The sequence below is a fragment of the Homo sapiens genome, chromosome 9, assembly GCF_000001405.40.
Source record: "Homo sapiens chromosome 9, GRCh38.p14 Primary Assembly".
NCBI classification, from domain to species: domain Eukaryota; kingdom Metazoa; phylum Chordata; class Mammalia; order Primates; family Hominidae; genus Homo; species Homo sapiens.
This window is the reverse complement of record NC_000009.12, coordinates 126,703,989-126,728,749: the sequence shown is the minus strand read 5'-3', so window position 1 is coordinate 126,728,749 and position 24,761 is coordinate 126,703,989. Positions and strand designations below refer to the sequence as shown.

At 46.8% G+C, this 24,761-nt stretch overlaps 1 long non-coding RNA gene across 2 annotated transcripts, besides 10 other annotated features; it reads right to left on the bottom strand.

The window, feature by feature from the left end:
• Positions 1-3,334: 3,334 nt before the first annotated feature.
• LOC107987129 (uncharacterized) lies at positions 3,335-11,387 on the bottom strand. 2 transcript variants are annotated; one of them, XR_001746936.3, is made up of 3 exons: positions 11,358-11,387; positions 8,799-9,079; positions 3,335-7,118 (listed from the first exon to the last, which is right to left on the bottom strand). It is a non-coding gene; the product is annotated as an uncharacterized LOC107987129 (long non-coding RNA). The 2 variants fall into 2 exon arrangements; XR_001746935.3 differs by lacking the exon at positions 11,358-11,387 and adding an exon at positions 10,284-10,917.
• Positions 5,653-5,732: a silencer, noted in NCBI's record as "silent region_20291". NCBI's record gives its function as "represses an Ori minimal core promoter by ATAC-STARR-seq in GM12878 lymphoblastoid cells {active_cell/tissue: GM12878}" and the evidence as "EXISTENCE:reporter gene assay evidence [ECO:0000049][PMID:35858748]".
• Positions 5,793-6,402: a silencer, noted in NCBI's record as "silent region_20290". NCBI's record gives its function as "represses an Ori minimal core promoter by ATAC-STARR-seq in GM12878 lymphoblastoid cells {active_cell/tissue: GM12878}" and the evidence as "EXISTENCE:reporter gene assay evidence [ECO:0000049][PMID:35858748]".
• Positions 6,643-6,702: an enhancer, noted in NCBI's record as "active region_29018". NCBI's record gives its function as "activates an Ori minimal core promoter by ATAC-STARR-seq in GM12878 lymphoblastoid cells {active_cell/tissue: GM12878}" and the evidence as "EXISTENCE:reporter gene assay evidence [ECO:0000049][PMID:35858748]".
• Positions 8,443-8,942: an enhancer, noted in NCBI's record as "H3K4me1 hESC enhancer chr9:129482087-129482586 (GRCh37/hg19 assembly coordinates)". NCBI's record gives its function as "activates a minimal SCP1, AML or CMV promoter by ChIP-STARR-seq in naive H9 embryonic stem cells {active_cell/tissue: H9 hESC(naive)}" and the evidence as "EXISTENCE:reporter gene assay evidence [ECO:0000049][PMID:30033119]".
• Positions 21,791-22,514: an enhancer, noted in NCBI's record as "H3K4me1 hESC enhancer chr9:129468515-129469238 (GRCh37/hg19 assembly coordinates)". NCBI's record gives its function as "activates a minimal SCP1, AML or CMV promoter by ChIP-STARR-seq in naive H9 embryonic stem cells {active_cell/tissue: H9 hESC(naive)}" and the evidence as "EXISTENCE:reporter gene assay evidence [ECO:0000049][PMID:30033119]".
• Positions 21,977-22,056: an enhancer, noted in NCBI's record as "active region_29017". NCBI's record gives its function as "activates an Ori minimal core promoter by ATAC-STARR-seq in GM12878 lymphoblastoid cells {active_cell/tissue: GM12878}" and the evidence as "EXISTENCE:reporter gene assay evidence [ECO:0000049][PMID:35858748]".
• Positions 22,515-23,240: an enhancer, noted in NCBI's record as "H3K4me1 hESC enhancer chr9:129467789-129468514 (GRCh37/hg19 assembly coordinates)". NCBI's record gives its function as "activates a minimal SCP1, AML or CMV promoter by ChIP-STARR-seq in naive H9 embryonic stem cells {active_cell/tissue: H9 hESC(naive)}" and the evidence as "EXISTENCE:reporter gene assay evidence [ECO:0000049][PMID:30033119]".
• Positions 22,515-23,966: a biological region, named in NCBI's record as "H3K4me1 hESC enhancers GRCh37_chr9:129467063-129467788 and GRCh37_chr9:129467789-129468514".
• Positions 23,146-23,440: an enhancer, noted in NCBI's record as "tiled region #3640; HepG2 Activating DNase matched - State 12:CtcfO, and K562 Activating DNase unmatched - State 8:EnhW". NCBI's record gives its function as "activates a minimal TATA promoter and a strong SV40 promoter by Sharpr-MPRA in HepG2 and K562 cells {active_cell/tissue: HepG2 | K562}" and the evidence as "EXISTENCE:reporter gene assay evidence [ECO:0000049][PMID:27701403]".
• Positions 23,241-23,966: an enhancer, noted in NCBI's record as "H3K4me1 hESC enhancer chr9:129467063-129467788 (GRCh37/hg19 assembly coordinates)". NCBI's record gives its function as "activates a minimal SCP1, AML or CMV promoter by ChIP-STARR-seq in naive H9 embryonic stem cells {active_cell/tissue: H9 hESC(naive)}" and the evidence as "EXISTENCE:reporter gene assay evidence [ECO:0000049][PMID:30033119]".

The window sequence follows — 24,761 nt, the reverse complement described above, 5'->3', positions numbered from 1 at the left end:
ACCTATATATAAAATAAATTATAAATATTAATCTAATAATATTGAATCAAACCAAATCTAATAACATTTAATAATTAATATCTAAGTAAGTGAACTGTGTTTATGAATGAAAAGACTCAGTATTATAAGAATAGTAAGTCCCCACAAATTAATATAGAAATTAAATGGAATTCCAACCAAAGACATAGCAAGTTTTTTTTTTTTTTTAAGGAAGTCCGTCAATTGATCTTAAAATTCCTGTGAGGATAAGAGCCAAGAACAGTCGAGACAATTTTAAAGAGGAGGAACAAGGGGGAGGGTAGGTACACACTTAGCCATGCTGTATTAGGGTAACACTAGCTGCTGAAACAAACAAACCTCAACATATTTAAGGCCCAAGCGTAATAAAAGTTTATTTCTAGGCCAGGCACGGTGGCTTACGCCTGTAATCCTAGCACTTTGGGAGGCCAAGGTGGGTGGATCACGAGGTCAAGATATCGAGACCATCCTGGCCAACATGGCAAAACCCCGTCTCTACTAAAAACACAAAACTTAGCTGGACATGGTGGTGCACACCTGTAGTCCCAGCTACTCGGGAGCCTGAGGCAGGAGAATCGCTTGAACCCAGGAGATGGAGGTTGCAGTGAGCTGAGATTGCACCACTGCACTCCAGCCTGGCAACAGAGCAAGACTCCATCAAAAAAAAAATAATAATAAAAAAGAAAATAATAATAATAATTTATTTCCAGCTGGTGTAAAATCCAAAATGGACATTTCTTTTCAGTGGGCAGCTTTCTTTATGTAGCAATTTGGAGACTCAGGCTTCTTCCATTCTGGGATCCCATCTTTCAAGGTCATTATGCTTGTTTGCATCAAGGTGGTGGGAGGAGAAAGAGGATGAAGGGTCATGCATGGGACATTTTATAGGCAATGCCTAGAAATGGTGTACGTTGTTTCCATTCACATCAGTGGTCAGAACTCACTTAAGTGGCCACATCTACTTACAAGAGAGGTTGTGAGATGGAGCCCAGTTGTGGTACCAAGAACAAGAGGAAATAGGTGTAGTGAAGAGCTAGCCAGTCTCTGTTGCATCTGCCCACGATCAAGATTTCTTATACGGATACAGTCATTAAAACTGTGTGGGTGGGGCAAAGGATAAACAAGTAGATCAGTAGAACAAAAAACAGAGCCCAGAAACTGACTTCCATATGTCAGAGAAAACTCTGTATATACCCGTGACAGCTTCACTAATCAGTGCAGAAGTGGGGAGCCATGTAATATATAGTGCTGGAAGAACTGGCTATCAATATGAAAGCCAATATAAAATAATATGTAATATTTGGAAGATCATATATAGAAATAAATTCTAGGTGATTGAAGGCCTAAATGCAAAAAAAAAAAAAAATCAAAGCATTTAAAATAGAAGAAATCAGCTGGGTGAGGTGGCTCACACCTGTAATCCCAGCAATTTGGGAGGCCGAGGAGGGTGGATCACCTGAGGTCAGGAGTTTGGGACCAGCCTGACCAACATGATGAAACTCCATCTTGACTAAAAATACAAAAATTAGCTGGGTGTGGTAGCGTGCACCTGTAGTCCCAGCTACTCGGGAGGCTGGGGCAGGAGAATCACTGGAAACTGGGAGGCAGAGTTTGCAGTGGGCTGAGATTGTACCACTGCACTCCAGCCTGGGTGACAGAGCGAGACTCCATCTCAAAAAATAAATAAATACAAATAAAAAATAAAATAGAAGAAATTATTAAAGAATATCTCATGGTCTTGTTTAGGGAAAAATTTCTTAAGTATTGGAAAGAAAGAAGGAAGGAAGGAAAGAGGAAAGGACAGAAGGAAAGAAGGAAGGAAGGAATAAAAGGAGAAAGGAAGGAGAGAAGGGAAGAAAGGAAGGAAAGAGGGAGGGAGGGAGGGAGGGAGGAAGAAAAGCACTAACTCTGAAGACTGATAAATCTGACTCTTCATTCTGTTCTATTGTTTTATTTGCCTATCCTTGTGCCAAAACCATTATATATAAAGGCATCCTAAATTTAAAAAAGTTTTTACATCCATTGAAGTACAGAAAAAAATTTATCAAAATTACTGAGTTGATTTTATATGTTTTGACCATGAAAAACTAAGAATGTGCAGTGATGGATTTGTTAATTAGCTTGCTTTGATCATTCCACAATTTAAACATATATCAAAACATCACATTGTACCCCATAAATATATAATATATACGGCTATTTTTTATCATCTAAAAATGAAATAAAATTTGAAATAACACTCTTCAAAAGTATTTTAAAACCACAAAGTCGGAGAAAATATTTTCACAATAAAAAATGTAAAGGATTTATATTCAGTTTATGTAAACAACTTCTTCAGTCCAATAAGGTAAAGACAAACAACCAGCAGAAAAATAGACAAAGGGTGCGAACAGCAAATACGCAAAGGAGAAAATGGGAATTTCCCATAACAAATGAAAAGATGCTCAACTACTTCATTCATAATTGGGTGAAGACCCCCACAGTTAAAAGATTAACAAGATATCATATCACATCCTTCAAATGGGCAAAAATTTAAAAGTCTGGCAGTAGCAAGTATTAGTAAGGATGTGGAGAAATGAAGATTTGCGCACTGCTGGTGGCAGGGTAAATTAGGGCAACAACTTTGGAGAGCAATTTGGAAATACAATTTGACAATATACACACCCTGGCACCAAGCAATTCCACTCCTTAGTGTATGCGCCAGAGCCATTTTGCTGTAATACACAAACAGACATGCATGAGGATGATCATTTGTAATTGCAACAAAACCAGAAAACAATCTGTATGTCTACAAACAGTGGGGTAAATAAAGAAATTTCAGTCGTTTTGTACAACGGGCTACTTATCATCAGATAAAAGGAATGAACAAAAGCTACATATATCAATGTGGACAAATCCTAGAAAATAATGTTTAGTGAAAAGTTGGGAATGATTCTGTTCAGGTAAATATGTACATGATAGTTTATAACAACTTATGTAAATACACAAAATAATGCTACATTTTTACAGGTACCTTTATAGTAAAAGTGTAAACATGAGAACAGGCAGAATAAACACCAGCTAAAAACAGTAGTTGGCCGAGCTTGGTGGCTCATGCCTGTAATTCCAGCACTTTGGGAGGCTGAGGCGGGAGGATCACCTGAGGTCGGGAGTTTGAGACCAGCTTGACCAACATGGAGAAACCCCATCTCTACTAAAAATACAAAATTAGCTGGGTGTCGTGGTGTATGCCTGTAATCCCAGCTACTCAGGAAAGGCTGAGGCAGGAGACGCTTGAACCCAGGAGGCAGAGGTTGCAGTGAGCTGAGATCGAGCCATTGCACTCCAGCCTGGGCAACAAGAGCAAAACTCCATCTCAAAAAAACAAAAAGAAAACAAAAACAAAAAACCGTAGTCACTTCTGAGTCAGTAGGTGTGAAGAAGGTAGTAAAAAGAGACAAGGAAGGCACAATCAGATAGATATAATAAGGCACAAATCTTTTTTCTTTTTTTTTTTTTCTTGAGAAGGGGTCTTGCTCTATCACCCAGGCTGTAGTGCAGTGGCACAATCACAGCTCACTGCAGCCTCGACCTTATGGCTCAAGAGATCCTCCTGCCTCAGCCTTCCAAGTAGCTGGGACTACAGGTGTGTACCACCACGTCCTGCTAATTTATTTTATTTTATTTTCAGTAGAGACAATGTCTCACTATGTTTTCCAGGCCGCCAGGCACCCATATTTAAAAAAAAAAAAATCCAGCAGTGGTTCTGATGGAAACCCTGGATAAAGAACAATCACCTAAGGCCCTGGGTTCCAATCATGGTGTTGAATCCCTGGCTCAGGTAAGCGGGAACAAGCCTTTACCTGCCTAGCATGTGCAGGGGTAGGAACTCCTTCCTTATGACAGACAATCCCTGGTCCTCCAGCCTGCAGCCACACGGAAACAAAGGAGAGGGCACACACAGGTGGACTGGTTCTAGGAAAGCTCCGCTCCCAGACTTCACCCTCCAGTAATAACCTTGGCCTTAACCACCTACGTTGGCTCCTCAGAGGTGTGGCTTAGCTGTAGGTTAGGGAAGAGAGGAACCTGAGCTTTCCTAGAGGCCAAAAGCGTGGCCTCTAGGAAAAAGAATAGTAATGAAAACAATGACTTCCAGAGCACTTCCAAAGTGCCAGACACTGCAGAAATGACGGGCCCAACGTCCCTAAGCCAGGGGGTGGCAAAGTCAGGATTCAAGTCCAGGTCCTTCATTCAGACTCCCTAAGACTGGCTCTTAATCACTGTGCCACAGGAACCTTGGGTCATTAAACCTTCATGGTGTGGCCCAAACCGGTTTCCTCTCCTTACTGCCTGCCCATGACTGCCCTGCTTGCCTGCCCCGGAGAGTGTACTCTCCTCCAAGCACATGGAGCACCCCGTGGTGGCGATGATGCTGTTGACAGCTGCATGCCTTTCTTCTTACTGTGGTCCTTCCTGCCTGGTGCCATCTATGTGGCAAGGCCTCATTGTTCCTCAGGGCTCTACAGAATGCACCAGGCTCTTGGCTGCTTACCTCTGCCTCCCCTATTTCAGCTGTGCGCTCTCAAAGGTGGGGACCGACTGACTTATCTCTCTATCCCCAGCTGATGAATAGAGGGGATGAGTGATACACGAATGAGTGAATGAATGAATGGTAATGGTGATGGGAATCAAATGGCAGCAACGCGGAAGAGGGAGATGCGGTGCCTGTAACCATGGTAACGATGATGTCGCTGAGTGATAATGCTAGGAAGATGGTAACCATGGTAACACTGATGGTGAGGCCTGCTCGGACAGTCCTGGCGCCTCAGCTGCCGTGGTCCATGCCAAGCCCGACCTGCTCAGTGGCCGAACAAGATGCTAAGCACAATTAGCAATTGCTGTTCTGTTCCCTGTCCCAAGACCCCCGCCCAGGGCTGAGTTTCACGGTAGTCAAACCCTCTTCCTGAGTGGCTCCAAGACTCAGGAAAGAACACATGTTTGGGGGGCGGGAGGGGTGGCGTGCAGCTTGCATGCATGTGTATGTGCGTGCGCGGAAGAGGCTGTGTGATGGGCAAGTGGGTAAGGTGTGGTGTGCGCTAAGGGCAGTCCTGCTGGTGCTAGCGCCAGGGGACTGGGAAGAGGAACGGTTCCCTTCGTGCGCGCCGGGCTGATGCGTGGGGGGCGCCGCGTGAGTGCGCCGGTGGCTGGGAGTCCGGCGGCCGCGTGTGTGGCAGCGGAGCGGTGTTTCTGGGAGGGGCGCCAGGTTCCGGGGCTGGGGGGTGGGGAGCTCCGCCCCATCCATCACCCGGAGCGCAGCGAGCCAGGCGGATATCACGGTGTCAGGCGGCTCTGCTCGCAGATCTTATCCTCTTCATTTCCGCCCGAGCCTAGCCCGCCCGCGCGGGCTCCCTGAAGGCTCCATCCATCACCTGGGATCGACGGGGCGGCCCGGGGAAGGGGGTCTCAGACTGTGCGGGGAGGGAGGGAGCGGTGGGAACCAGACCCACCATGGACACCGAGAAAGGAGAGGGACAAGTTTTTAGTGGGGCAGGGGGGTCTGGGTTTGCTTTTCCACGTGGGGGAGGGGACGCTCTCTGCCCTGGAGGGGGAGAGCTTCTCGGGCCAGCTCGGCCCCCGCCTGGGACTGGGGCCGTTGGCTGGGTCCCGATCCCCGAGTGCCTGGGGCAGCGCTGGAAAGGGAGAGAGCCCTCGCCCGCCCGGGGAGAGGCTGCTGTGCGCGGGGCCCGCACCTGGACCCTCCAGGGTGACCTGGGGCCTGGGCAGCGCGGGCGGGGGCGGGCGCCCCGGGGGGAGGCCTTATTTCATTTCCCCGCGCCGCTGAGGTTTCTGCGAAGTGTCTCTCTCACCTCTTTAAATTTTACGGCGCTTGGCCCATGGCCGCCGGGCCCCGCCCTGGGGAGGAAGCGGGTGCTGGCTCTGGGAGCCTCCCCGGCCGAGGGGTGGCCCCACCAGGCCGGGTGCGGGTCAGGCCCGGGGCGTCCGAACTCCGAGGGGCGCCCGGCCTGTGCCCTACTCTGGTTCCCGGGGCCTTCCCGGAGGGGGTCTGGGCTGTCGGGGCCCAGGGGGCGGGGCTGGCCTCGGAACGTCTCCGTCCGGCCCCGCCCCCTTTCTGGGCCTCGTCTCGGGCCACGCCTCTCCCCTGCTCCCGGGGAGCGCAGCGGGGTGGGCGGTGGGAGGGGACTGCTGGGGGAGGGAGTCAGAGGAGCAGAAATCCGGGCCAGCCTGGAAGCCCAGTTGCCACCGCCACCCCCAACTTCCCCTGGGGGCAGAGCGGTGTTCCCAAGACCTGAGTCAGGGCGGAATACTCCAGTCGAGCCAGGCAGGCCAGCCAGGTCCCCGAGGCCGGCCCGGGCTGGCACCTGCCTGGAGACCAGGTTGGGGGCTGGAGGTAAAGGGAGGGGCATGGGGTGGCCTCTGGGTCTCAGCGCTCTTCCTTCAGAACCCTGAGGTAACTGACCAGTATCAATCTGGAGACAGTGGGGAACCTGCCCTAGGTGTGGGCGTGAGAGGCGTGTGGCCTGGGAGTGGGGTCGAAGGAGGAGAGGGGCACATGAACAGGAGATAAGTGTGAACAAGAGGGGCCTGAGGGAAGAGGGGCTGTGAACCGCAGAGGGGTGAGACAGGAGGAAGGGTGAGCAGAGGGCACGGAGGGTCTGAGGAGTCACTGCCTAAAGACACAGAGCGAATAAGTCAGGATTTGAACTTGGTTCTGTCTGACTCCCAAGCCACCTGTCTTAGAGTTGCAGTCATTAACTTGATTCTACAATGTACTCCTTATTAATTCAGCCCCAGGCTACACAGCTAGCTGCCACAGATATAACTTTGTGACATGCATGTAACCAGAACAAGGAAACGGGACACGGAACAGAAGTACACGGAACAGAAATTTGGTTCTACTGGTCCGGAAGATGCAGGGGCCAGTGGCCTGGAGGTGCCTGGGGTGCCCCCTGCAGAGGCTGTGGGATGCCAGGGGTGGTGCAGTGCAGAGTGGGTGGGGCCTGGTGGCAAGATTGCAGCTGGTACTGCCCACAGAGTGACTGGAACCTGCCAGAAGCTTCCAGGCTGAAGAAGGCTCTGGAACATTCTTTTTCTCTATTGACCTGGAGAGAAAAGGTCCTGGATATCACACTCCAGGGAGGTCAGCCCCAGCATCTGTATGAGGAAAACTGGTCACTTTCACATGACCCAGCAGGGGCCTGAATGGCCACCCCTACCCTAGTCCCTCCCTGCTCCTGTGCCCCCTCTCAGGTTGACGCTACCATCCTTTTTGCCCCAATATCTCACCAAGTCCAGCTGCTCTGTCCTAAACATTTCTCCAGTCTGTCGCCCCCCTTTTTTTTTTGAGACGGGGTCTGGCTGTGTTGCCCTGGCTGGAGTTCAATCGCCCGATCTTGGCTCCGCCTCCTGGGTTCCTATGATTCTCATGTCTCAGCCTCCTGAGTAGCTGGGATCACAGGCGTGTGCCACCACGCCCGGCTAATTTGTTTTGTATTTTTAGTAGAGATGGGATTTCACCATGTTGGCCAGGCTGGTCTCAAACTCCTGGCCTCAAGCAATCTACTCGCTTCGGCCTCCCAAAGTGCTGCAATTACAGGTGTGAGCCATGGCACCCAGCCAAATCTGCCCCTTCCTTGCATATCCCCGTAGCTACACCCTTTATGTTGGTTACTGTGATCTCTCTTCTGCATTATTGTAAGGGGCCTTTTGCCGGGTTCCCTGGCTCCTATCCATCCTCAATGCCATGAAGACAACACTCTCCTAAAACCATTTAAGGCTGCCCACTCCTTCCGGGATAAGGCCCAAGTTCACAGCAGTGTCCTGCAAGCTCTGTTGTGGCTCCTCTCTGTGGTCACCTTTTCTGCTTCCGTTCCCTTGTTTTACTAAAGTCACTGCTGTTTCGTTCCTCTGAGCCCACCGCATTGTGCTTCCTTCTGCCTGTAATGCCCTCCCCTCCCTTTTCTTTTCTTTCTTTCTTTTCTTTTCTTTTTTTTTTTTTTATGACAGAGTCTCACTCTGTCACCCAGGACGGAGAGCAGTGGCGCAATCTCAGCTCACTGCAACCTCCAGCTCACTGCAACCTCCACCTCCCAGGTTCAAGCAATTCTCCTGCCTCAGCCTCCCGAGTAGCTGGGATTACAGGTGCCCGCCACTACGCCCAGCTAATTTTTGCATTTTTAGTAGAAATGAGATGTCATTATATGTTGGCCAGGCTGATCTTGAACCCCTGACCTTGTGATTCACCCGCCTTGGACTCCCAAAGTACTGGGATTACAGGCATGAGCCACCATGCCTGGCTCTTCCCTCCCTTTTCTACCATACTAATTTTTTTGCGGCTTGGCTCAAATATCTTTGCTTTGGGAAGCCTCCTTGCAGGGAGCACTCGCTCTTCTGTGCTCTCATGGCCTCTGTGCTCCCTTGTCCCCTGGTTGTAATTGGCTTTTAGGGCCTGTCTGAGTCTTGCACTAGCCAGATAGCTCACCGCAGGCAGGGACCCTCATCTGTCAGAGGATCCTGAGGACCTGGCCAGAGGAGGCATGAAGGGACTGTTGTTGAATGAAAAAGGCAGAGCTGGTATTGTGTGGGACCTAGCAGCAGGCCGACTCCAGCCTGTTTCTGGACTTTCCTGGACCTGGGACTCTGGGGCCATCATAACCGGGGTATAGGCAAAAAGAAAGGGGCTATCAAGTGGTATTGTGGCTAGTTTGAACATGACCCCTTCACACAAATTCTTTCTCCTCTGAGCCTCCCTCACACTGTCCCCAAGGCTGCAGGAGACCCACCTGTAATGAGGGCTTCAGATTCAGGAATGTTCCACTCACTGCCTGTGGCTTTTGCGTCTCATCACACAGGGTGACTGGTTGCCATGGAAACCCAAGTGCCGGAAGCGCTGCTGGCTCTTTCCCAGGGTGGGAGGAGGTGCAGGCGGAGTGCCCCGTGCAGACTGGCTGAGCTGGTGCTGGGTGCCTGGGGCCTGCCCACTCTGGGCTGGGTTGGGTCTCCTCATTCCTTCCTTAGCAGAAGTTTGTGGTTTTATCCCAGAGCGTTGGCCAAGGCTGCAACCCTGAAAATACATTTCCTCTTATTTGGGGAGCATCAGCCTCTGGTTAAACACTCAGCCTGAGTGTTGTGTGGTCTCCAGCAACATATTTGATTTTATGAGTCTCGGTTTTCGATCTGTAAAATGGGGATCCCAGTAGCACCATGGAATTTCTGCTTTTGGCAAGATGGTGGACTAGGGCTCTCAAAGGTCACCCCATGAAAATATAACTGGATTCTGCATGAGTTACGAAAACAAGGCCGGGTGCGGTAGCTCACGTCTATAACCGCAGCACTTTGGGAGGCTGAGGCGGGCGAATCATCTGAGGTCAGGAGTTCAAGACCAGCCTGGCCAACATGGTGAAACTCTGTCTCTACTAAAAAAAAAAAAAACAAAAACAAAACAAAACAAAAAAACACAAAAATTATCTGGGTGTGGTGGCAGATGCCTGTAATCCCAGCTAGTCGGGAGGCTGAGACAGGAGAATCATTTGAACCCCAGAAGTGGAGGTTGCAGTGAGCTGAGATTGCGCCACTGCACTCTAGCCTGGGCAACAATAGCGAAACTCCGCTCAAAACAAAAACAACAAAAACAAGAATTACAAAAACAAAACAAATAAAAAACCATCATTTTAATGCATTGCTGGACTTCCTAGAGAGTAATGGAAATCTGTAAGGACTAAGTGTCCTCTGCCAAGAAAAGCGTGGCAAGACAGTGGGGAACTGAAGCTAAAGCATGGAGCGTTGACTAACAGGGAAACAAGAAAATCGAGCTAAATGATGAAATAAGCACTGCGATAGGCAAATTAAGTCTAGGGCAGAGGCAAGGTGAGAGCACCTGAGACTCCTGCCTTGTGCCAGAGTCATTTAAAGGTGGCTGAAGTCCTCCCAGGTTAATAGCAGCCCCTTGGCTCCTGGCAGAAGCAAATGCAAATGCCTCAGTAGGAATGTAGGTCCAGTGTAGGCCCTCAGGATTCCCACAGATTAAGTTCAACAAAATATGAACTCACAATCAGTGGTCACCAAACTACACGGAAACAAGCCGCTATGAGTGAGAGTCAGCAAATAAAACAATAGGCGTAGACATACCCCTTTAATACTTCAGCTGTTGGAATGACCAAATACAGAAAATAACATAATTATGTAGAAAATATTTAAAGAAATGCAAGATGAATTCACACACACACACACACACACACACACACACACACTGAATGCAGAATACAAACCTATCAAAAATGTCCAGGAAGATTGGAAAATAAACCAAAATAGAACTTGCATAAATGAAAGTTATAACTGATGATACAAAAATCTCATCAGATGATTAAATAGCAGATCAGATGCAGCTGAAGAGATAATTATGAATTATTAGGTTGGTGCAAAAGTAATTGTGATTTTAGCCATTAAAAGTAATGGCCAATACCACAATTAATTTTGCACCAACCGAATAGAAAATGGATCCACAAAAGTACCTATTTCTGCATAATTTTCAACACAGAAAAAGGAGAGGTAAAATATGAAAGATGTTTAGGAGAGAGGGGAGGGAAAGATGAGAAGGTCTACTATTTAACTAAGACCCACAGGAAAGAATAGAGACAGCAAAGGTGAGGTAACATTCAAAGAGATAATGGCTGAGAACTTTTCAGAACTTATAAGAAACATGAATTCACACCTAGGCATATTGTAATAAACTTGCAGAAGACCAAAAGGTAAGAGAAGACCTCAGAATCTATCAGAGAAAAGAAACAAGTTGGCTGCAAAAGAATGACATTTAAAATACTAGTAACTGAGGCCAAGGCAGGTGGACCATGTGAGGTCAAGAGTTCAAGACCAGCCTAGCCAACATGGTGAAACCCCATCTGTACTAAAAATACAAACAAATTAGCTGGGTGTGGTGGTGCGTGCCTGTGATCCCAGTTACTCAGGAGGCTGAGGCAGGAGAATTGCTTGAACCCCGGAGGCAGAGGTTGCAGTAAGCAGAGATTGTGCCACTGCACTCCCGCCTGGGTGACAGAATGAGACTCTGACTCAAAAATAAATAAATAAATAAATAAATAAATAAATAAATAAATAAAATACTAGTGGCTTATCAACAGCCACCATGGAAATCCCTAAGAAATGGAAAAATATCTTTGGAGTCCTAAGACAAAGTAATTATCATCCTAAACTGAAGGGGTGGCCTGCCCCTCCACACCTGTGGGTATTTCTAGTCAGGTGGGACGAGAGACTGAGAAAAGAAATAAGACGCAGAGACAAAGTATAGAGAAACAACAGTGGGCCCGGGGGACCGGCGCTCAGCATACCAAGGACCAGCACCGGCACCGGTCTCTGAGTTCCCTCAGTTTTTATTGATTATTATCTTCATTATTTCAGCAAAAAGGAATGTAGTAGGAGGACAGGGTGATAATAAGGAGAAGGTCAGCAACAAACATGTGAGCAAAAGAATCTACGTCATAATGAAGTTCAAGGGAAGGTACTATGACTGGACGTGCACGTAAGCCAGATTTATGTTTCTCTCCACCCAAACATCTCAGTGGAGTAAAGAATAACAAGGCAGCATTGCTGCCAACATGTCTCGCCTCCCACCATAGGGCGGTTTTTCTCTCCTCTCAGAATTGAACAAATGTACGATCGGGTGTTATACCGAGACATTCAGTTCCCAGGGGCAGGCAGGAGACAGTGGCCTTCCTCTAGCTCAACTGCAAGAGGCTTTCCTCATTTACTAATCCACCTCAGCACAGACCCTTTATGGGAGTCGGGCTGGGGGACGGTCAGGTCTTTCTCATCCCACGAGGCCATATTTCAGACTATCACATGGGGAGAAACCTTGGACAATACCCCGCTTTCAAGGGCAGAGGTCCCTGCGGCTTTCTGCAGTGCATTGTGCCCCCGGTTTACTGAGACTAGAGAATGGCAATGACTTTTACCAAGTATACTGCTTGTAAACATTTTGTTAACAAGGCACATCCTGCACAGCTCTAGATCCCTTAAACCTTGATTTCATACAACACATGTTTCTGTGAGCTCTAGGTTGGGTCAAAGTGGCTGGGGCAAAGCTTCAAATTAGCAACATATCAGCAAAGCAATTGTTTAAAGTACAGGTCTTTTGCAAAATGGAGTCTCTTATGTCTTTCCTTTCTACATAGACACAGTAACAGTCTGATCTCTCTTTCTTTTTCCTATACTAAACTTGTACACTCAATATAACTATCATTTTTTTTTTTTTGAAACAGAATCCCACTTTGTCACCCAGGCTGGAGTGCAGTGGAGTGATCTTGGCTCACTGCAACCTCTGCCTCCCAGGCTCAGGTGATCCTCCCTCTTCAGCCTCCCTAGTAGCTGGGACTACAGGTGCACGCCACCATGGCTGGCTAATTTTTAAATTTTCTGTAGAGATGGGGTTTTGCCATGTTGCCCAGGCTGGTCTCCACCCCCTGGGTTCAAGTGATCCTCCTGCCTTGGCCTCCCAAAGTGCTAGGTGTGAACAACCACGCCCAACCAATGTAACTATCTTTAAAGAATGAGAACAAAATAATGTTATCGTCATATGAACCAAAACTGAGGGAATTTACCACTGTTAGACTTTTACTAAAGGAAATGAAAGGAAAATGATCCCCAAAAGTAATTCTAACATACAAGAAGAAATGATGACAAAAGAGTTGGCAAACATGTAGGTAAATCTAAGTAAAAATTGTCTGTATAAAATCGTTTCAATAGTAATAATAATGTCTACTTTGTGGACAAACAAGGGCAGGACTCAAATACTGGTTATCAGTTGTATGCAAGTTGGAAGGTATGACTGGAGTTAATACACTTTAAGCGCCTTGCATTATTCAGGAGGATAAGATAATTATTAACTTTAGACTTTTTTAAATGTGCAAGGCAAAATTTCCAGGTAATTACTAAAAGAATAGGAAAGGAGTATGAAACTACCAAGTATGTACAGGAAAATAAGTGGAATAAAAGAGAGAAAACCATCATTCTTTTTTCCTTTTTTATATTAATTTTAACTCCTTCCTTCCTCCCTTCCCTTACCTTCCTTTTCTCTCTCTCTCCCTTCCTTCCTTCCCTCCTTCCCTCCCTCCCTCCCTCCTTCCTTCCTTCCTCTCTCTGCCTCTCTCTTTCTCTCCTTCCTTCTTTCCTTCCTTCCTTCCTTCTTTCCTTCCTTCCTTCCTTCCTTCCTTCCTTCCTTCCTTCCTTCCTCCTTCCTTCCTTCCTTTTCTCTTTTCTTTTCTTTTCTCTTTTTCTTCTGTCACCCAGGCTGGAGTACAGTAACACAATCATAGCTCTTTATTAACTTGAACTCATGTGTTTAAGGAATCTTCCTGCCTTAGCCTCCTGAGTAGCTAGGACTACAGGTGCACACCCAGCTAATTTTTAAAATTTTTTTGTAGAGGCAGGGTGTCCCTGTGTTGCCCAGGCTGGTCTCGAACTCCTGGCCTCAAGCAATCCCCCCAGCTTAGGCTCCTAAAGAGCAGGCATTACAGGTGTAAACCACCACACGCCCCTGGCCACCATCAATTTTTTAAAAAGTAAAAGGTGTAACAAAAACTATGAAAAAGATAGGTGAATCAAAAAGAAAGCACAAAGTTGGATGGCAAATGCAAGTCCACATTTATCACTAGTTTTTAGGAAATGTAGATGTGCTACTGAACTCCTTAGTTAAAAAAAAAAAAGAGGATTATCAGATGTAAGATTTTAAAAATTCAGTATAGATTGCCTACAAGAGCCACTCCTAAAATGCAAGGACGCTGAAAAGCTGAAAATAAAGATATTCAAAGTGGTATTCAGAAAAATACCAATCAAAATAAGAGTGGCTTTATTAGCATCAAAAAATAGTCATTAAGGTCAATATTATTATAAGAGATAAAGAAAGTTCCTAATAATGATAGAAGTTTTAGTGCACCTGGAAGATATAACAATTCAACTAATAAAGTAGCCTCAAAATATACAAAGCTAGAAGGGATAGAACCACAGAGCAAAACTGATAAATCTATAATTACTATGGAAGAGTTCAACATATTTCCTCTAATTATTGATATTTCAAAGTAAAAATTAAGAAAGATATATAAGGTTAAAACTACATAATTAACAAACTTGAACAAATGGATACAAATAAAATCCTAAATCCAACAATTAGAGAATACAAATGTATTCATGAACACATAGGGAATTTATAAAAAGTGACTACATATTGTGGTCATAGGACATAATGTAATTCTCAGCCAGGCACTGTGGCTCACATCTGTAATCCCAGCATTTTGGGAGGCAGAGGCGAGCAGATCACGAGGTCAGGAGTTCGAGACCAGCCTGGCCAACATGATAAAACCCCGTCTCTACTAAAACAACAATAACAACAACAAAAATAACATAATGTAATTCTGAACAAATTATAATAACTAGTATACAGGTCATGTTTCTGTGACTCACAATGCAACTAAGTTAAAAGTTAAAGACAAAACAACAAATAAAAAATTCCCATATGTTTATAAGTATGAAAAACATCACATGGAAATTTTTTTTTTTTTGAGACTGAGTTTCGCTTTTGTTGCCCAGACTGGAGTGCAGTGGCACGATCTTGGCTCACTGAAACCTCTGCCTCCTGGGCTCAAGTGATTCTCCTGCCTCAGCCTCCCAGGTAGCTGGGATTACAGGCACCCACCACAATGCCCGACTAATTTTTTGTCCCTCTCTTGCCCAGGCTGGTCTCGAACTCCTGGCCTCAAGTGATCCCCTCAGCTTAGGCTCCTGAAGAGCAGGGATTACAGGTGTAAACCACCACATGCCCCTGGCCACCATCAATTTTTTAAAAAGTAAAAGGAGTAACAAAAACTATGAAAAAGATGTATTAATACCTTTAAAAACAGGCAAAATGGATAAATTATTCGAAACACATAACTTACTGAAACAGACTCAAGAAGAAATAAAAATCCTGGATAGTCTCATAACCATTAAACATAATTGAGGTGGTAGTTTAAATATTTTTACATAGAAAACACCAAGCACTGGCCAGTCATGGTGGCTCACACCTGTAATCCCAGCATTTTGGGAAGCCGAGGCAGATGGGTCACTTGAGGCCAGGGGCTCCAGACCAGCCTGGCCAACATGGTGAAACCCCATCTCTGCTAAAAATACAAAATTTAGCCAGGCATGGTGATGCAGACCTGTGGTCCCAGCTACTCGGGGGGCTGAGGCAGGAAAATCGCTTGAACTCAGGAGGTGGAGGTTGCAGTGAGCTGAGATCGCCCCTCTGCACTCCAGCCTGGGTGACAGAATGAAACTCTGTTTCACACACACACACAAAAAGGTTAAAAAACAAAACAAAACAAAACACGAAGCCCGAATGATTTTAAACATTCAAGGATTAGATATTATAATATTATAATTTTTTTTTTTTTTGAGACGGAGTCTCGCTCTGTCACCCAGGCTGGAGTGCAGTGGCACGATCTCAGCTCACTGTAAGCTCCGCTTCCCGGGTTCACGCCATTCTCCTGCCTCAGCCTCCTGAGTAGCTGGGACTACAGGTGCCCGCCACCACGCCCAGCTAATTTTTTGTATTTTTAGTAGAGACGGGGTTTCACCGTAGTCTCGATCTCCTGACCTCATGAGCCACCTGCCTCGGCCTCCCAAAATGCTGGGATTACAAGTGTGAGCCACTGCGCCTGGCCAGATATTATAATTTTATATAGACTCTTCTAGAGGAAAAAAATGAGGGAACACTCATCAGCTCGCTTTGTGAAACCAATATAACCTTATCACCCAAACCAGAACAACCTTATGCATGTACCTAGGTGCAAAGATCATGAAAGAATAGTAGAAAACTGAATACAACAAAACACTTTAAAATGTATGGCCAAACTGGGTTTATACCGTGGATGCGAGGGTGGTTAAACATTAATACATATTATATATTAACATCATATTAATATCAGAAATATGGCTTATATATTACTTATATATATAACATTATATTACACATTAGAATATCATGTTATATGTCATATAATACTATTTTTATGTACATGAAATGTGTAAATATATTCAGTGACAGTGGGTTGAAGGAGAAAATCTGTGCAAAAATGCATTTAATAAAAATCAATATCCTTTCATGATTAAAATTTTTATCTCACTAGGAATACAAGGGAATTTTTTTTAAGTTGCAAAATTTAGCAAAATCACACCTAGTAGTAAAAAGTAAAAAAAAGGCCGGGCGTGGTGGCTCACGCCTGTAATCCCAGCACTTTGGGAGGCCGAGGTGGGCAGATCATGAGGTCAGGAGATTGAGACCATCCTGGCTAACACGGTGAAATCCCGTCTTTACTAAAAAAATACAAAAAATTAGCCGGGCGTGGTGGCGGGCTCCTGTAATCCCAGCTACTCGGGAGGCTGAGGCAGGAGAATGGCAGGAACCCGGGAGGTGGAGATTGCAGTGAGCGGAGATGCGCCACTGTACTCCAGCCTAGGTGACAGAACAAGACTCCGTCTCAAAAAAGAAAAAAAAAAAAAGTAAAAAACATTCTCCTTAATAGAACAAGGCAAGGATCCCAATTGATAGCTACCTAATCGACATTTTATTGGAAGTTCTAGCCAAGGTGTTTAAAACAAAAGAAAGAAAGAAAAGGTATAATGATTAGAAAGAAACAAAACTATCATCACTTCCAGATTATATGATTATCTACATAGAAAAATCCAAACTAATCTACTGAGAGTTATTAGAATTAATGAAAGAGTTAATCAAGGTGGCAGGATATAAGACCAATATTCAAAACTAAATTGCTTTTCTCCACACTTCTTTATGAAAGTAAACAATCCAGGAAAAGACAATATTTAAAATAGCAATAGACAGAAAGGAATCTAAAAATAAGTCTAATAAAAGATGTGCAAGACCTGATACAGAAAATGATACAACTTTGTTAAAAAATTAAACAGCGTGGTATGGTGGCTCACACCTGTAATCCCAGCACTTTGGGAGGCCGAGGCATGCGGATCACTTGAGGTCAGGAGTTTGAGAACAGCCTGACCAACATGGTGAAACCTCATCTCTACTAAAAATACAAAAGTAGCCAGGTGTGGTGGTGCATGCCTGTAATCCCAGTTACTCCAGAGACTGAGGCAGGAGAATCGCTTGAAGCCACGAGGTGGAGGTTGCGGTGAGCTTAGGTTGCGCCACTGCACTCCAGCCTGGGCAACAAGAGCGAAACTCCATCTCAAAAAAAAAAAAAAAAAAGCTAAAGAAGACCTAAATAAACCTGGGATTTATTCTTTTCAAGGGGGGAAATACTAAAATTGTCCATAATTTTATCAATTATCCCCATATTGATCAAAAGAGTGATTACAATTTCAATCAAAATCCCAATCGAATTTTTCAAGGTACTTTACAAACTTTCTAAAACCTATACGGAAGAGAAAAAGCTCAAGAGTAGCTGTACACTCCTGAAGAAGAAATGGTGGAAGAACTGGTTCTAAGTGCAATAGAGACATTATAAAATATTAGTAGTTAAGACTATGTGAGACTGGCACAGGAATAGATCAACAGAACAATGTGACAGTAATAAACACACTGATGGAAACCTGACATATCACGGGATTGGTATTTCAGATTGCCAGGAAAGGCTAGACTATTCAACCTAGGGTGCTGGGATCATTTGTTATCCACATGGAAAAATAGGACATTGGATCCTTCCTTCATCTCTCTCCAAAAAATAAATTCTCATGAGCTGAGATTGCGCCCCTGCACTCCAGTCTGGGTGACAGAGAGAGACTCCATCTCAAAAACAAAAACAAAATACAATGACAACAAAAACAAATGGAATGTCATTAATATATAGCTTAGTGAATGGTGGCAATGTGAATGCAGCAATGTGGGTGCATGCTAGAAACAATCTTGAGGGAAAAAAGAAATTAGCAGAAGACTGCACATATCTGATATCACTCATATGAAGCTCAAAAACAAGCAAAACTGAACAATATATAATTAGGGGATTAGAAGTTATTTTTTAAAAAGCAGGGCAACTGGCCGGGCACAGCGACTCACACCTGTAATCCCAGCACTTTGGGAGGCTGAGGTGGGAGGATCACTGGAGCCCAGAAGTTAAAGACCAGCTTGGGCAATATAGGGGGACCCCATCTCCCTATATTGTAAAGTAAACATAAATATAGTTAAAGACCAGCCTGGGCAATATAGGGAGACCCCATCTCCCTATATTGTAAAGTAAAAATAAAAAATTAGCTGAGTGCAGGGGTGTGCACCTGTAGTCCCAGCTACTTGGGAAGCTCAGGTGAGAGAATAATGTGAGCCCAGGAGTTCAAGGCTGCAGTGAGCTGTAATTGCCTTACTGTACTCCAGCCTAAGGGACGGAGTGAGACTCTGTCTCAAAATAATAATAATAATAATAATTAGAAATAAATAAATAAAAACAACCCATTGATAAATATACAACATAAGGTAGTGATTATCTTCAGGGGTGAGATAGGAAGACGGGATGGAGTGGAATACACAGGAAGGCTCAATGGTTTTGGCAATATTCTAGTTCCTATGGTTGGCGATGGCATAGGTATTCATTTTATTATGCTTAATAACTTACATCAATTGTATATTTTCTTTGTGTATGTATCAAATATAACACAGTGAAAATAAACTCCAGTATTGTGCTGCTTTTTTTTTTAAAAAAAAAGAAAGATAAGAAACAAAAAAAAGGCAAAGAAAGATTGTTAAATAAAGGACTGGACAAAGACAAAGCTATAGTAGATTAAGGTAAACAAAAAAATAATATAGGAGTATCAACAATATTATCAAAGTGGAATTCAAGGCCAAAAGCATTTAACAGAACAAAGAGGGACAATATTTAATGAAGAAATGTACATCCTTCCCCAAGGAACATAAAACAATCATAAATTTTGTTGTATCAAACAACACAGCAGCTACATATATATCAGCAGCTACATATATATATATGTATGTGTGTGTATATATATATATATATATATATATATATATATATATATATATATATATATGTAGCTGCTGTGTTGTTTGCAAAAACTCCAGGAAAAAAATCACAATAGTTTGTCTTCATAGTTTCCGGCTCAGTGGTAGGACATCCCTCCTGAGCAGCGTCCTGGCCTGAGAAGTCCTGGCTTTGAGCATCTTCCTATCTGTGCTGACTGGTTACGTGAACACTGGGACAGGTTTCTACCTTCTCCAGTGATTTGGAAAGGGGCCAAGGAGTATGGCCAGGCTCCCTAGTGGTCCCAGTCTGGTCTTGTCCAGCCTCCCAATCCCAGCTCCTACATCTGTTCCTATATCTGGCCTCCCCATGGGATGATCCCTGCTCCTTCCTGCTTCTCCTGACCTGCTGTATTAGTTGGTTCTCATGCTGCTAGTAAAGACATACCAGAGACTGGGTCATTTATAAAGAAAAAGGGTTTTAATGGAGTCATAGTTCCATATGGCTGGGGAGGCCTCACAATCATGGCAGAAGGTGAAGGAGCAAGGGTACGTCTTACATGGCAGCAGGCAAGAGAACATGTGCAGGGAAACTGCCTTTTATAAAACCATCAGATCTGATGAGACGTACTCACATCACAAGAACAGCACCGGAAACCACCCCCACCCCACCATGATTCAATCACCTCCCACTGGGTCCCTCCCATGACACATGGAGATTAAGGGAGGTACAATTCAAGATGAGATTTGGGTGGGGACACAGCCAAACCATATCACCTGCCTACTATTGGCCAATTTTTTTTTTTTTGAGATGGGGTCTTTCTCTGTCACCTAGGTTGAAGTGCAGTGGCATGATCTCTGTTCATTGCAACCTCCGCCTCCCCGGCTCAAGTGATCTTCCTGCCTCAGCCTCCTGAGTAGCTGGGACCACAGGTGCATGCCACCACACCTTGCTAGTTTTTTGTATTTTTGGTAGAGGTGGGGTTTTTCCATGTTGCCCAGGTTGGTCTCAAACTCCTGAGCTCAGGCGATCTACCTGTCTCAGCCTCCCAAAAGTGCTGGGATTAAAGGCATGAGCCACCAGGCCCAGCTGTTCACCAACTTTCTAGGCTCCTACGCTACCCAGTGCCTTTTCCTGAAGGGCCTTTATTCTGTAAAAAGTGAACCAATTCTCTTCCCTTCCCTTCCAACTCTGTAAAGCATTTCCTATCTGTCCTTGGTTATGTGACCTTAGCAAGCTGCTGACCAGTCTGAGCTCTGCCCTTCCTCTCTGAACAGCACAAGGCAAGGATGTAAGGAGCCCAGATTGTTCCTGTTTGGGGCTGGGATGGGCCAAGAGAAGGAGTGTGGCTCTCTGGCCGTCAGTCTCCCTCTCTCCCTGTCCTTCTTGTCATGTCTAAACCAACCTGCTGGCTGGTGCCCAGGGAGCAGCTTAGGAGGGGCCACACCTCCCAGCCCTGCCGCTGAGTCCTCACTGTAAAGAGGCCTTTACCGCGACCCTCAAGCCACTCCAAGGCACTCCTTGGCTTAGAGCCTGGGTTGGTGAAGGCTGCCCCACCCCTCAGAATGGCATAGTTGCAGAAAATTTGGGGCTCTTCCTGTCTGGGTCTGTCCCGGCTTTTCTTCTAGGCAGAGTTGCTTGTTTACGCTGGTAACCTGCTCTCAGGAAGTGCTGTCCACCAGCTCTGTGACCTTGAACAAACCCTTTCACCCCTCAGAGCTTTGGTGTCTTCATCTATGGAATAGGGATAATAATAACACTCTGAGTGAGAATTGAATGAGATAATGCCTGGACCAGGCGCGGTGGCTCACACCTGTAATCCCAGCAGTTTGGGAGGCCGAGGCGGGCGGATCACTTGAGGTCAGGAATTTGAGACCAGCCTGGCCAACATGGCAAAAGCCCCATCTCTACCAAAAAATACCAAATTAGCCAGTGTGATGGCGTGCGCCTGTAATCGCATCTACTTGGGAGGCTGAGGCAGGAGAATCATTTGAACATGGGAGGCAGAGGCTGCAGTGAGCTGAGATCGCACCACTGTACTCCAGCCTGGGTGACAGAGCGAGACTCTGTCTAAAAAAACAAAAAACAAAAAAAAGAGATAATGTCTGAAGCACTGACCCATCATGATAAGTACTCAAAGTCCAGCAGCTATCATCGTTGTGGTCATCTTCGTTATTAGCACTATTACTAGGGGTTGGCAGGGCATTTTATAAGCAAAAAGATCAAATGCAATAAGTTGCCTTCATGCAGAATTGCAGCTTCACTTCATTTTTGCAGAGCATGATTGCAGTTTTCTGCCCTTGTCACAATCACTCTGTTTGTCGACATTTTTGTGATGGGTATAAACTGATTATTTGCTTATTAGTAACTCAGCACCAATAATTCACTTTTTCAATTGAACTCTGTTGCATATGAAGTACCCTGCTGCCTGTCCCTGAGGCACAGACTCAAGTTCCAGCTGTGGGTAAATCACAGCTGTCCCTGCTCTCTGTGTGTGAGGGGGACCAGAGGAGACCCCACACCAGGCAGGTGCTGGTGACCACGAGAGCTGTGATAGCAGGAACCTCTGTTGCAGCGATGATATATGTTGTCCACTGCGTATCTTACATCAAAAATCATCATTTTCATTTGTTCCCAGGAAATCTCTTGACAATATCCTGTTGGATGCAATTTGCAGAAAAAATGTCTCCAAAGCAATGCCTCCTCTTAAATACAGGCTCAAAATCCGTGCACAGGTGAGGTGTAGAGTTTTCGCAGACCATGTGTGTGTAAGTGAGACGGAGTGATGTTGTGAAATGTGAAGGAGAAAGTGCAAAGACAGTCATTGTGCTCTGTTGAGAATCATTTTAGCTACTATTTTTTTTGAGCACTGATAAAAATATCTCATTTATTCACCCCAAAACTCTGTGAGATGGTGTGGGGTTTAATCCGGACTCTTTGGTAAGAAGTGACAGAGACTCAAACTAGCTTAAGCAATAAGTGCTTTATTGGCCATGTATTTGTTAGCCCTTCAATGCCTACATAAAGTGAAGCCTTGGGGCCGCCCCTCTCTCTGACTCTTCCTTCTGCCTGTGAATTGACCGTGAGCTCTAGGGCTCCCCCGCGTGGTGAGGAACATGGCTGAGAGCATCCCTGCACTGTGATTCGAGAAGGGGCCCCGACTTCAGCTTTGGACGGGTCACAGGGAATGGGGTGCTCTGGCCACCAGGCTCAGAGCTGGCGGACTGGCAGGCACAAGCTCCCACTGCCCAGGCCTCGATGCCGCCTCTGGCGCAGCCCATGTGGTTCCGGGAGGCCTAAGTGTCTGTTCCCCTGACAGCTGCCCATCAGCCTCAGAGATGGGGCAGGGAAGGCTGGTGTCACAGGAAACACAGCTGGCAGAAGCTTCCCTGGCCTAAAGGAGGTATCCACCTGCTCTGGAGGTATCCACAGGGGACGGCTCATCCCCTGGAGGGATGAGCCTCACTCTGGTCGGGGAGACCCCCTCGTGTGCCTGGAGGCGGTCCTGGGGAAGGGGAAGCTGGCCTGGGGCCTGGGGAGGACCTAAGCCTGCTGACCTTGCTCGAGGGAAAAGGGGCCGGCTGGGCTGGGGCTGCGGGTGAGGGTGGGAGGTGGCAGCTCAGGGGATGGGGGTGGGAGGTGGGGGGTGGCTGCTCAGCTGTCCCCTACTTCCACCTCATGGCCCTCCCTCCGGGCTCGAGGAGCTGCGGGTAAGCGCCGTAGGCAGGGGCCAGGGTGCTGCGGGTAAGCGGGGCCACGGTGCTGCGGGTAAGCGGGGCCACGGAGCTGCGGGTAAGCAGCGCCCCCCAGGCTTTTAGCCTTCCTGATCCTCACCATCTCCAGCAATAAAACGGGGTGGCAACAGTCCCCGCCGCACGGGTCGGCGTGAGGAGTCCGTGGGTCAGGCATAACAAGGCTCCAAAGCGGTTGCTATCGTTTTTGGTTTTTCCCTGCCCATCTCCCTCTATTTTCCTCCTCGTGTGTCTCTGCACTGCCCCAGCCCTGGTTCAGACCCCAGCCTGCCGCTTCCCAGCTGTGTGGCCTCAGGCAGGCTCCTTAACATCTCTGAGCCCGCTCTCCTGTCCTGTGAAATGGGAATGCGCGCTTCCATCCACTCAGGGTTGCGTGGGGGAATCCGCGGTGTCCTCGGTGAGCAGCGCCCACGCAGTGCGGGGCTCACAGAAGCCTCTGCGGAGGCGGCGTCCTCGCTCCTGCCTTCTTTGGCCACGATCAGGAGCCTCCTCAGTCCCCGCCGCCCCTCAGCGCTCCGCCGGCCACGTGGGCTACACCTGACTGACTCCGGATCGCCACCTCGTGGCCTGACGGGTGATTGCAGGTTTGTAGCGAAATTCAGGTCTGTTCTGGGGATTTAACAGCAAAGCGCCCCAAGATTTGATACGGGGAGGGGGATTGGGGGCCACGAGTGAAAGTGGAGTGCTCCTCACAGCAAGCCACCTGCATGTTCGATGCAGAGGGAAGATGCACCAAGGGCCGCTTTCCCTTGGGCCCGTTCCCACGAGATTCTGGGCTTTCTGTGCTGTGGCTGAGCTATTGGGATCAGTTTTCCCAGTGAAGAAATGAAGGCTCTTGAAACTATGGTAGGGGAACACCCAGGACTCTAAGGAATTAAAAATGTACATTTTCTTTGTCTAGTAAGTGGGTAAAGAGGTTTTTGTCATTCCTCTTTGGGCCATGAATAGGTATGTTTGAGAATACATACACTCCTTTGCATTTCCAGTATCTCGTAGTGTGCTCATTTTATTCCCTGCTAAATCAAAGAACAGGATGTGACATGTTAAGTGTCTCTTGCTGCCAAGGACATGAATGACCCTGGCATGCCCAGCGTGGTAGTGCTGGGGCTCTCACCTTCTGCCACCTCCAGCCTTCAGACTGTGAATCCAAGCTGGCTGTGCCCTGCTGCCCCAGACTTCTGCAGCTCCCACCTCTGAGCCTGTGCTCCACCTACCCGCCTCCTCTCACCCCACGCACGCTGACTCATCTTTGCAGGCTCAGCCCGAACGTCCCTCCTTTAGGAGGCTTTCTCTGCTTTCCCAGGCACAGCCATCATCAGCCTGCCACTCGTTGAGTCCTGTAAGTCTTTCTCCTAACTCCTTCTTAGGCTCTGCCCAGGTGGGCTGGGTCTGGGAAGGTTCTGCCAAGCTAGGGCTGAAGGGCAAAGCAAGAAGCAGCCCAGGGCAGGTCTCCCTTCTGTCAGGCTGCAGGGGTTGCTCTGAAGTCAAAGCCATGAACAGAGTCCCCGTGTCCATCAATGCCTGGGGTCAAGGTCTGCCTGGCATAGAGTCAGGGGAAACTCATGCCAAAGGGGGCTTCTGGGGCAGACCAGTGACAGCTGGAGGACAGGTGGTCCTGGGAGGAATGGGGGTTGGAGGGCCATGTCCTCATCTTCCAAATGGACATCATTTGCCCCCGGGGCTGCGAGGTGTCAGTGAGGCAGGACACAGGAGGCTCAGCCAGTGTCAGGTGCGTGGGAGTGCTCCCCGAGTGCTCCCTTCCCTGCTGATGAGGAGCTGAGGGGAACCCAGCAGCCTTCTCCCAACGTTCTGCGTCTCCGCCAGCTGACCACCCTGCAGGCCAGGCATTGACCTGCCACTGCACTGCCTGCATCCAGGGTGCCACTCACATGATGCTAGGGATTGCATGGCTCTATGTGGTGGCCCTCCTCCTGACCGTCCCCCATATGCCCATCTGTCCAGGCTGATTGTCAATCTGTACAGCTGCTGCACATACCTCACCTTCTCC